At 37.5% G+C, this 12,466-nt stretch overlaps 1 protein-coding gene across 1 annotated transcript in view; it reads right to left on the bottom strand.

Moving 5' to 3' along the window:
* Positions 1-3,081: 3,081 nt before the first annotated feature.
* The window catches only part of STXBP3 (syntaxin binding protein 3), a 62,850-nt gene continuing 53,465 nt past the window's right edge, over positions 3,082-12,466 (bottom strand). Inside the window, exons 17-19 of the mRNA NM_007269.4 lie at positions 12,300-12,385; positions 5,056-5,204; positions 3,082-3,822 (exon numbers count right to left, since the gene is read on the bottom strand). Coding sequence (NP_009200.2) covers positions 3,728-3,822; positions 5,056-5,204; positions 12,300-12,385 — 330 coding nt within the window. The 3' untranslated portion in view covers positions 3,082-3,727. The remainder of the gene's footprint in view (positions 3,823-5,055; positions 5,205-12,299; positions 12,386-12,466) is intronic.

The following is a 12,466-nucleotide window of genomic DNA, read 5'->3' as shown; positions in this document are numbered from 1 at the left end:
AGGATTAATAAAGATATCCTTATTTATTTACTAATATGATTGAAGAATGTGAATCCACTGTACTTTATAAATAAAGCACATTTCAACAGGAAGCAAATCTGTGTTTCAGAGACAGTGAATAAATGGTTTCCATTGGTTGCAACAACAAAAAAGTCTTTTTCTGGGTCTTGAAATCAAAACCTGTAATTTTTTTTTTTCAGACAGGGACTGACTCGCCCAGGCTGAAGTGCAGTGGTGTGATCACAGTTCACTGCAGCCTCCACCTCCTTGGTTCAAGCAATCCTCCTGCCTCAGCCTCTTGAGTAGTAGCTGGGATCACAGGTACGTGTCACCACACCCAGCTTTTTTTTTTTTCCTTTTTTTGTAAAGATGTGGTCTCACTTTTGGAATATTCATAGAACGAAAAAAAAAAAAAAAAGATGTGGTCTCACTATGTTGCTCAGGCTCGTCTCAAACTCCTGGGCTCAAGTGATCCTCCTGCTTTGGCCTGTAATTGCTAATTCTATGGGGGAAAAAAAATCAGCTTATACAAGGAATTTATGTGAGATGACGTCTTATGGCTTCAAATTCATAAGAGATTTTGTAAACAAAGGGTCTCTGCAATTCAAAGCTTAACATATATGTGAAATACAGGACTCAAAACATCCGATATCAGTGTGATCAGGGTAAAGTGGTCACTGAGATGTCAAGTGATCAAATGAATAAACAGTCCAGTGTTTGCTGTCATCACACTCTTAGTTCCATTTGTTCCAGGCCATTGGATTAATCTAAATACCTATTCCACACATGTTCTGACCCTGGAGAGGGAGTTACTGAGGCACACAAAGATCTCAGATAAAATGCAGACACCAAAAACTAATCCTCTTACTGGAGATATATTGTTTTCATGCGTAGTTTGCAAAGAGGGCTGTTTATTGTGCCAGGCCCTTCCTTTCCATGCACTCATCCACACCAAGTTACATCCATCTCTTTGTGTCGGTTTCCTCAGCTTTAAAATAAAGATGATAATCACAGTACCTATGCTCACAGGAATACACGAGAAGATGGAATGAATTAATAATAGAAAGCACTAAGTAAGCATTTGTATATTATTACTTTATTATCAATACTTAGTAAAGTTGTAAGATTAACATATCAAAAGTTGGCCAGGCACAATGGCTCACACCTGTAATCCCCACACTTTGGGAGGCTGAGAAGGAGGATTGCTTAAGCCCAGGAGTTTGAGACCAGCCAGGGCAACACAGTGAGACTGTCTATACAAAAAAACAAAAACAAAAACAAAAAAACCCAAAAATTAGCCATATGTGGTGGCCCATACCTGTAGTCCTGGCTACTTGGGAGGCTGAGGCAGGAAGATCACTATCGCCCAGGAGTTCAAAATTCCAGTGAGCTATGATCACATGACTGCACTCCAGCCTGGGTAACATAGCAAGACCCTGTCTCTATTTAAAAAAAAATAAATAAATTTCTATGTGTAAAAAACCATTTGAAAATAGTAGAAGATTCAACCCACAAAGGAACTACAAAAATATTTTGACAATGTGCAGTAACTATATGAAGAAAATGAAGATTCTGAAGGTTATGAAGATTTAAATGAAAAGACATTTCACATTCCTGAATATCAAAGTTTCAATATTATAAAAGATGTTGATTTTTCCTAAGTTAACCTAGGAACAATGCAAATCCTATGAAAATACCAAAATGGCTTTTTTTGGGAACTCAACAAAAGGATACTAAAATTCATCTAGAAAAATCTGATAGAAAATTTCTGAAAAATAATAGTAATTTAGGTGGATTGAATAGGAACTTCTTCCACTACATATTGAAACATACCATGAATTGAAATAGGGAAAAAGAAATACAAAACAAACTGTAGGTCATTAAAAGAGAATCCAGAAATAGACCACAATACAAATGGAAATTTAGTCTATGATAATGGTGGTATTTCAGATTAGTTGGGGAAAGAGAGATTATCCAATAGGATCTGGTATAACATCTGGCTGTTTAGAAAGGAGTGAAGCTGGACCACTATGAAATACTCCATCAAGTCAGGGTTCTGTGCAGGAAACAAACTTCTCTAGATATTTCAAGCAGAAAGGCATTTAATACAGAGAATTAGGTCGTTACAAAAATCACTGAAAAAGCAGTAGGAGCAGAAACTGGAGACCCACGATCATTTTACCATCTGTGACCCAAAGGACAGGAAGCTAGTGCTGCTGCCACAGCATTAACTCATACCCACGAAGCAGGCGACAAGACACTAAAATGTGGAGTCTGGTTGCTACAAACAATTCCTGTCTGCGGGAGATTGCTTACTGGCATAGTAGATGGCCTCTGCCTCCAAATCTTGACCAAGTGCACATCATTGGTAGAATATAAACTGTTCAGACCTTACTTATCCTAGAACCTGAAAAACTTCATGTTTAGCCTTTCATCCCCTGTGGTATGGGGTAAGGAGGCATGGGACGTCATGCCAAGTACTAAGAGACAATATCTAGCACACATTCTTACACTAAAATCAATTCCAGATGGGTGAGTTACCTGTAAAAAAATAGAATGAATCTATCAAAAATTTATAATCCTGGAGTGTGGAAGGTATTTCTAAGTAGCATGTGAAATTCAGAAGCCAAAATGGAAAAGCGATGGATTTACTTAAATAAAAATTAAAAATGGATATCCATCAATATTTAAATGCACAAATCCCTTGACCACTGCTAGGAATTTACATTATGGAAATGTCTGTGTAAGTCTGCAAAGGTATGTACCCAAACAACGCAGCATTATTTATAAGAGCAAAACTCTGAATCAATAAAACTATGGTCTGCCATATGACAGAACACTATGAGGGCAAGTAAAAGAAGAGATTTGAAACAAAGATGTTCCCTTTGTTTAACAAAACACATCTGCAGACATATATTATCTAACCCTATATAGAGATTACGTTATTTTTGAAAAAGTCATTAGGAGTTATCTTGGTGGGAATATTACGGTAGATTCCTTTTCTTCTTTGTTACTCTAATTTAGAACTTTTAAAATTTGTAACTTTCCCCTCTCCCCTACAGAAAACACAAACCAGAATAATTTTTTAAATTCTATATTTATTTTCTCTTAGAATGTTCATGATTTTTGGTTTTCTAATTTAAACATACATGATTTCAAAATTATATAAAATTGTGTTCTTTAGAAGTATGTGGCAAAACAGTACACACTGTGAAATCACTCCATTTCTATTAATGACTGAATTATTTTACACATAAACTGAATTTTAGTTGAAAGAAAAACTACACTTAGAGGAAACAATTCTATCATACATATACATTTACAGTTTTTTACTTTTACAATCTCTTTATTTAAAATCATTCTTTCCCAAAAACTATACTTCAGCATGAGACTTTTAGATATAAGTATCCAATGGGTAATTAGTATGTACATAGGTGGCTGTGAAAAATTACCCACAACTCTAATATATTCTCCTCCAAAGGTGAAAAAATTTCCTTTTAGAAAGCACTTTAACATTTCTTCTCATCATCTACAAAGCAGCAGCAATATTTAAATTATCAAAAATGACAAATCCAGTAATAATCATAAACAGTTCCTTAAGAAATGTATTTGAAAAGCCATTATTCCATAAAATATTTACATTGTTTAAATTACATGACAGCAACATTTTCTTTCTATTTTAGTTCAACATATTAGTAAGAATCTCTAAACCCTCCAAAAAGAAATGCTATTCATCTTTAATTAAGGAGACTTTATCCTTGGGTTTATTCAGCATCTTTATATCATCCAACAGCTTTTTGGGTGTTAAAACATGTGTAGAACCTGGTAGGAGAAAAGAGAATTTTTCAGAGGCCAGCAGTTAAATCAATTTTCCTTCGCTTAATATAATGTGTTGTCCTTCAAATATGTAAAGTGCAGTAGCCTGGGGTAATGTAACAAAATTTCTGTAAGACATCTTCCTGAAATCTGCCTATGCTGCAATATTTCAATCCTTCTTCACCACTGAGCATGTTCAGTAACTTTTCAGAAACAGCGGCCATTCCTAGTGCTTTGTCTACTTTGTGCTATACGTTGGTATAATGAAGGGCAAAACGGGATTATCCTATCCTCAGCACTATAACAGTTATTGTTCAATAATAGAGATCCACTAAGCAGTGCTGCAGGTCAAGGCTTAACACACAGATCCATCGCCTCCATGGGTCAGGAGAGTTTACCTATCATTGGCTTTGACTGAAATTCTTATTTTTTAATTTTTTGTAGAGACGGAGTTTTGCTTTATTGCCCAGGCTGGTTTCAAACTCCTGGCCTCAAGTGACCCTTCTGCTTTGGCCTCCCAAAGTGCTGGAATTACAGGCCTGAGCCACTAGCCTGGCCTGAAATTCTTAAAACTTAATTCCACACAGGCCTTGCCAATGTCATGTCCATATCCACAAAAAATTCAAAATATTTTTGAAGTAGAAATGTATTTGTGCCTCAAAAACTATTTAATGGTTAAACAAACGTACAGAACATACTATTTTAAAGGAGCAAGCTCCTTTTCCTCAAATAAGCACATTTTAAAATAAAACTATCAAAAAGTCAACTAGGAAAAAACTCCAGCACATCAGACAAAACACATTCTATGGTTAACAATTTTTTTGCATTAAATTTTGTCTCAAATGTATAACACAAGATAACATTTTACATGTATACTTTTGCATTTAGAGTTTGTTTAAAAACAGAAAAGAAGGCTGGGTGCGGTGGCTCATGTCTGTAATCCCAGCACTTTGGGAGGCCGAGGCGGGCGGATCACCTAAGGTCAGGAGTTTGAGACCAGCCTGGCCAACATGGTGAAACCCTGTCTCTACTAAAAATACAAAAATTAGCCAGGCGTGGTGGCAGACACCTGTAATTCCAGCTATTCAGGAGGCTGAGGCAGAAGAATCGCTTGAACCTGGGAGGCGGAGGTTGCGGTGAGCCAAGATTGCGCCATTCCACTCCAGCCTGGGGGACAAGACCGAGACTTAGTCTCAAAAAAAAAAAAAAAAACAGAAAAGAAGAAAATGAAAGTCTTACCAATAATAACTTCACAGGATTTATGTGCCTGAGAAACTTCATAAGCACAACGCACTTCAGAGTATGTGATCCCTCCAATTACAAAAACAATCAGCTTTGACCCATTTTTTCGGTCTTCTAAATAATTAGCTCTGGGTTTCTGGCGAGCACTAAAAAGTAATTTAAAAAAAAAAAAGTAAACATGTTATAAACATTTCCAAAGCCATAATGCTTGTAGACTTAAAAAGCCTAACTCAACCAAACTCAAACTTGCTACCAATTACATTGATTTTTTTTTTTTTTTTTTTTTTTTGAGGTGGAGTCTCACTTTGTAGCCCAGGCTGGACTGCAGTGGAGCGATCTTGGTTCACTGCAACCTCCGCCTCCTGGGTCACAGTTCAAGCAATTCTCCTGTTTCAGCCTCCCGAGTAGCTAGGATTACAGGCATGTGCCACCATGCCCAGCTAATTTTTGTATTTTTAGTAGAGACAGGGTTTCACCATGTTGGCCACGCTGGTCTTGAACTCCTGACCTCGTGATCTGCCTACCTTGGCCTCCCAAAGTGCTGGGATAACAGGCATAAGCCACCGCGCCCGGCCCAATTACATTGATTTTTAAGGAAATGACTTAACCATAGTATGACTAACCAAGACTTAAGCAGGACAGCCACATTTCAAAAACAATTCTAACAAATCATGCATAATCTGGCTTGGCATTTTAACATATAGAGTAGAGCTAACAACCTCCCTTATTATTTCATAAGAAGAAATAATATACCTGAGAAGTCTGCAGCTTCTTGAAATTAAAAAAAAATTAGAGAGTGGCACTGAAAAAGGTTTTGAAGATGTGAAGGGGAAAGGGGCAAGTAATACTTTGGAGCTGATATAGTATTAGGTTGTTCCTTGATGGAATGGAATTCAGGAACCTACGATGGTAGGAGGTTGGCTGTTAAGAATTAGACCTGTGTTTCGATTTTTATTCTGCTTGTTTTTGATTCAGTATGACTTTCAGAAAATTACTTAACTTCTCTCTAAACCTCAAAGGCTGTTACAAGGATGAAATGAAACAATGTACAGAACACACTAAGTACAGAATCTGGTGTTGGGTAAGTACTCAATAAATAGTAGTCATTACTTTTACCATTCCTCCTCCAGATTGCTCTAGATCCCCAGAATCCCATATAGTAGCCACTAGCCACATGAGGCTATTTAAATTTAAATTAGTTGAAATTAAATGAAATAAGAAATTCAGTTCTTCATCCATACTTAGCCACATATCCAGTACCCAAAAGCCACATGTAGCTAGTGGCTGTCATACTGGACAGTGCCAATATAGAACCTTTCTATCACTGCAGAAAGTTCTATTGGCTAGCACTGCTCTAGAGCATAGGAATTACTTTTTTTGTTCACAAGCTCCACTGGTAAAAATTTTTAGCTTTTATTTGAAAAGTAAATATTTCAAAATAAACATTCATTTATAAACAAATATATTAATGTGTAAATGACATATGTGTACTAGTATATATTAGTAAAACTTAATTTCTTCTTTTTTAGGTAAAAATAAGTACCCAATTGTTCATTTTGTTACCTACTTTGAGAGCCACTGTTCTGGATGACCTAGAATGCCTTGCAGTATAGGATCTCATAGCAAATTTTTGTTTTGTTAGAGATGGGGTCTTGCTATGTTGCCTAGGCTACAGTGCAGCAGCTGCGGACCAGCATCATCACAGGGCACTACAGCCTCGAACTCTTAGGCTCAAGCAATCCTCCCACCTCAGCCTCAAGTAGGTGGACTTACAGGGGTGCACCACGGCACCCAGCCCCATAGCAAACTTTTAATAATGTTCTTGGCTGGGCGTGGTGGCTCACGTCTGTAATCCCAGCACTTCGGGAGGCCGAGGTGGGCGGATCATGAAGTCAAGAGATCGAGACCATTCTGGCCAACATGGTGAAACCCCCTCTCTACTAAAAATACAAAAATTAGCTGGGCATGGTGGCGCATGCCTGTAGTCCCAGTTACTCAGGAAACTGAGGCAGAAGAATCGCTTGAACCTGGGAGGTGGAGGTTGCAGTGAGCCAAGATCACACCACTGGACTCTAGCCTGGGTGACAGAGCGAGACTCCGTCTCAAAAAAAAAAAAAAAAAAAAAAATCTGAATCTAGCCTTTCAGATGATTGCTTCCATTCATTACCTTAAAGAATGAGGCAGTGAACAACAGGAAACAAATTTTAAAAACTAAAATTAAAAATTTCCTTTCCTTTTGAAAGATGAAACAGGAACAAGACCCACTCTTGTTCCCAAAGTCAAGGACGTATTAATAACTTTGGCTTAAGAACTGTTTCAACAGAGAGAAATAGAGTAAGAAGGCAAAAGAAAAGGAGACAACACTGCTCAAAACAATTCTAACAATTTCTAAGCTTCTGAATAGCAATTTTAGAGTAACGGGATTATATTTAATTTGTTTCACACACATGTGAAGACTGAGAGATATAAAGATAATTAAATCCCTAGATCCTGAAAACTTCCCTCTAAATAGCACCAAGGAGCACTGATTAAGAGGAAACATGTTTTTAAAGCATAGCTGAGAGTAAACAAGTCAGAGAAATCTCCAGGGCTATTGGTAAAAAGGAAGCTAAATACTAGAATGGTAAACTGAGTTGAGGCTTGGTCTGCCTTGTGGAGTATTTTCTGATGTTAGCAAACAAGGGGCCGAGCCCTGGGTACTGTGCAAGGTACAGATTGGGAGCTGACACCCTGCATAAGGTCAGGACAACCTCAAAGGCAAGGGGAGATGCAAGGAAGCTTCTCCTCTGATAATTTAGCCACAGGCCTGTCTCACAGAGTCTTAGGTATTAATCATACTACCTTCATGGTCTGAGGAACCCCAAACTGAGACATTAATACAAAAAAGAAAAAACCTCTAATCTGGCAAAAGCACATGCAAAACCTGCCTGAAGGGATGCGTTCTCAATGCTGGCTACTGAAATAAACTCAGCATTCAAAATTACAAGACACATACTGAAATAAGTAACTATGAGTCTGCAGAAATAAAAGGCAACAGAATTGAACCCAAAGAGTATAAATTAGTGAATTTATTAGATATAGACTACAAATTAGGTATGTTTAAAATGACAATAGACAATAAAGGAGGATAGAGAGTATGACAAAATAAGAAATAACAAAAAGTCCAAGCATGTTTAAAAAAGAAACATGAGAACTTCTAAAACAGAAAAATAAAGTCACTGAAAATAGAAAAAGAAAAAACAGCTTATACAGCAGATGAGACACAGTGTAAGAGAGACCTAAAGAACTGAAAACTAAATCTGAAGAAAAATTTCTAGAATGAAACACCAGCAGAAGAAACAAAAAAGTTTAAGAAATTAAGAGACATTATGACAGAATAAGATGTTCTAACAAAACCAAGACTACAGAAGTGGCAATATTTGAAGAATTTATGAAAGATGTAAATCCTCAGATTCAGGAAACATAAATGAATTCCAAAGAAAGAAATAAAAATAAATCCTCAGATACACATAGCACAGAGAATATACAGAACCGAGGACAAAAAACAACCAGAGAAAAAAGGTTAATTATTTACAAAGGTACAAGACTGACAGAAAACACAACCCCCTCCACCTTCCCAAGAGCTAAAGTAGAACCCTGGAAACAGCAGAATATTTTCTACAAGTGTTGACTGAACATAACTCAGCTCTTAGAAATTCATAGCTGGCTAAGAACAACGACCAAATGAAGAAACGGATAAAACTGTAAAGACTACCACCGCTGGCCAGGCGTAGTGGCGCACACCTGTAATCCCAGCACTTTGGGAGGCCGAGGTGCGTAGATCAAAGGTCAGGAGTTTGAGACCAGCCTGGACAACATGGTGAAACCCTGTCTCTGCTAAAAATACAAAAATCAGCAGGGTGTGGTGGTGCACATCTGTAATCCCAGCTAGTCAGGAGGCTGAGACACGAGGACTGCTTGAGTCCGGGAGGCACAGGTTGTAGTGAGCCGAGATCGTGCCACTGCACTGCGGCCTGGATGACAGAGCAAGACTCTGTCTTGGAAAAAAATAAAAAATAAAAAAGACTACCACCAACAGACCCGCATCAAAGGATACACTTCAGAAAGAAAGAAACTGAGCCCACACGAAAGGGGTGGTGGGCGATTTAACAGGTTCACATGCACATACAACTGAATTTTAAAAAACCAATAATGCTGCTTAGTAATATGGGGGGTAAAAAAGATACAAAGTGAACACAAATGAAGTATTATAACATTTAAGGGGTGCATGGTTTACATCCAGTTGGTCTAAGGTTCTTGTATTGTTCAAGAGGAGGGCAGAGATACTAATTAATCTTCGACTTTGTTGAGTCAAATATGCTTAGTAATAAACTGCTACAAGAATAAAAATAGATAACATAACCTCCAAACCTTTTGTAGAAAAGGAAAAAATAAAACAAAAGTAAAGAAAAGTCCTCAGTCCAAGGGAAGCACCCTATCCAGATATACGTAAAAGTACAAGAATGCTCACTGCATACTGTTTGTAATAATGCCAGTTTTGAGATAGCCTAAATTTCTATCATGTGGAAAACAGATGAATAAGTTGCTATACTCATATAACTATATACCAACTAGCAGTGAAAATTTATGCATGTATCAGTCTGGGATAAATTTCACAAACATAATGTGACAGAAACAAAAAAGCAGGCTGCAGGAGGACACACAATATGACACTATATTAAGTTTAAAAACATAAGATAGAGAGCACTTGTGGTCATGGCAGAATAAGGTGGTCAGGAGATTCCCCTCTAAGAAAACAAGTATATTCCTGGATGAAATTGTGGGGAAAACAAAACAAAACATTTCAGGTTAACTGGAAACCATAGGCAGACAACAAATTGAGAAGCATTTAATCTTGAATATCTGCTAACATATCTGGTAAGAACGGTGGTGGTGAATATGTAACCTTCTAGCCTGGGCTGCATCTAACCCTCACTGCTCTCCCAGCTCAGTCAGATAAAAGTTATAGCTTTACTGCATTGGTGGAAGACTTGATTCAAGGTGGGGCAGTGAGGCGAGTACAAAATCCTGCAGCTTTGCTAGGTGTGGTCTCAACTTAGGATGGGCAGCCAATCAGGTACAAATAAATAAATTAATTAATTAATTAATTTGAGGTGGAGTCTTGCTCTGTCACCTAGGCTGGAGTGCAGTGGCATGATCTTGGCTCACTGCAACCTCCACCTCCCAGGTTCAAGCGATTCTCCTGCCTCAGCCTCCTGAATAGCTGGGATTACAGGAGTGTGCCACCATGCCCGGCTAATTTTTGTATTTTTAGTAGAGATGGGGTTTCACTATGTTGATCAGGCTGGTCTCGAACTCCTGACCTCAAGTGATCTGCCCGCCTCGGCCTCCCAAAGTGCTGGGATTACAGGCATGAGCCACCGCACCCGGCCAGGTAGAAATTTAATAAGGAAATCCCAGAAGTAAAGAAGCCAAAGAAAGAAAAGATAAGCTCTCTACACATCATTAGTTGACTGCTAAACTATGCATGTGTGGGGAAAACCTGAGAAAGTCCAGGAAAAAAAATGAGGGAAAAAAGGGCTGGCTGCAGTGTCTCACATCTATAATCCCAGTGCTTTGGGAGGCTGAGGCAGGAAGATCGCTTGAGCCCAGGAGTTCAAGACCAGCCTGGGCAACATAGTGAGACCCTGTCTCTACAAGACATTTAAAAATTAGCTGGGTGTGGTGGCATATACCTGGAACCTTAGCTACCTGGGAGGCTGAGGTGGGAGGCTCACCTGAGCCCATGCGTTTGAGTTTATAGTAAGCTACGATCATGCCACTGCACTCCTGCACTCCAGTGTGGGCAACAGAGAGAGGCCTTGCCTCTATTTAAAAAAAAAAAAAAAATTAAAAAAAGGAGGGAGACTTAAGAACTGCCTATTTTGGAATGCAACCCCTAACCCACACTCAGCTTGATCAGTAGAGGATGGAAGCCATACAGGCTTGAAGTGTCTGAACAGATAACTGACTGACCTCTAAACTACACAGACATAGGGGCAACCACTAGAAGCTAAGATAAAAAATTAAAAAATTTTAAAAACTCAACAAGGACATCAGTGGCTACAAGAGAGCAAGAGAGAAAGATTCCATAGTTCAAAGTCCACACAAATTACTAAAACAATTTGGAGTTGCTATAATACATTATCTAAAAGGTCCAATTTTCAACCAAAAATTAGTAGATATACAAAGAAACAGGAATGTGTGACTCATACTTGGGGGAAAAAAAAACATTCAGTAGGAATTAACCCTGAGTAGACTCAGATGTTAGGGACTTCCAAGCAATTATAAATATGATCAAAAGAATTAAAAAGAAAAATATGGTAACAAGTTAACAACAGGGAATCTCAACAGTCAGAAATGGAAATTTAAAAAAATCAAATGGAAATTCTACATGTGAAAGTACAATAACAAATTTTAAAAAGATGAAAGAAAAGAGCCTCAGTAACTCACAGGACAATGTCAAACCCTCCAACTTATGTGTAACAGGAGTTTCAGAAAGAAAGGAAGGAGAGAGAAAGGAGCAGAAAAATATTTGAAAAAAATAATGCCTGAAAACTTCCCAAATTTGATGAAAATTATTAACTTGCAGATTTAAGAAACTCAACAATCCTCAGGTAGAATAAACACAAAGAGAACTATACCTAGACACAACACAGTTAAAGGCTGAAAGCCAAAGATCAAGAGGAAATCCTGCAAGATATAACTCAAGACACTGTTTAGGATACAAACATATGTAGAAAAAGTATAAAGACATACAGGCAATAAACACCAAATTCAGGACAGAAAATAAGGGAAAATAATAAAACCATAGTGTGATATACAGGAAGCTTGAATTATAATGATTTAGTTAATAAGCTGGGCACTGGGCATAAGGGTATGCATTGTAACATTCTCTGTATCTTTTTAAATGTTTAAAGTACCTCAACACAAAAATAATTATCAAAAAGGATTAAGGTCTCTGCTATGTGAAGGAAGAGGAGGTGGGGAAGGAAATACTTCTTGTTTCATGAAAATATTTTTTATAATAAAGTACATTTTCATATTGCTTATCTGGATTCATTTAAAACAAGTTACAGTTAAAGAAAAAATACAGGATTATATACTTGAAAGAAAGTTGCCAAATATGAGTATCTGTGTACCATTTTAAATTATTAGTCCGTAGAATGAAAATTTCATTGATTTTCACTTGTAGAATTTACCTTACAGCTCCTGAACCATTCCATACTGCTGGACACTGGGAACAATATGGCCATTCTTTTGAATCTAATCTATTATCAATAGCATCCTAAGGAAGGAAAGAGTTAATTCCATCAATAAAATTGTAAATTGCAGGACTTTGTTTGGCATAAAGGTCAAAACTTGCATT

Source organism: Homo sapiens, chromosome 1, assembly GCF_000001405.40.
Source record: "Homo sapiens chromosome 1, GRCh38.p14 Primary Assembly".
Classification (NCBI taxonomy): Eukaryota; Metazoa; Chordata; class Mammalia; order Primates; family Hominidae; genus Homo; species Homo sapiens.
The sequence above is the reverse complement of the archived record's forward strand: the minus strand, read 5'-3'. Positions and strand labels throughout refer to the sequence as shown.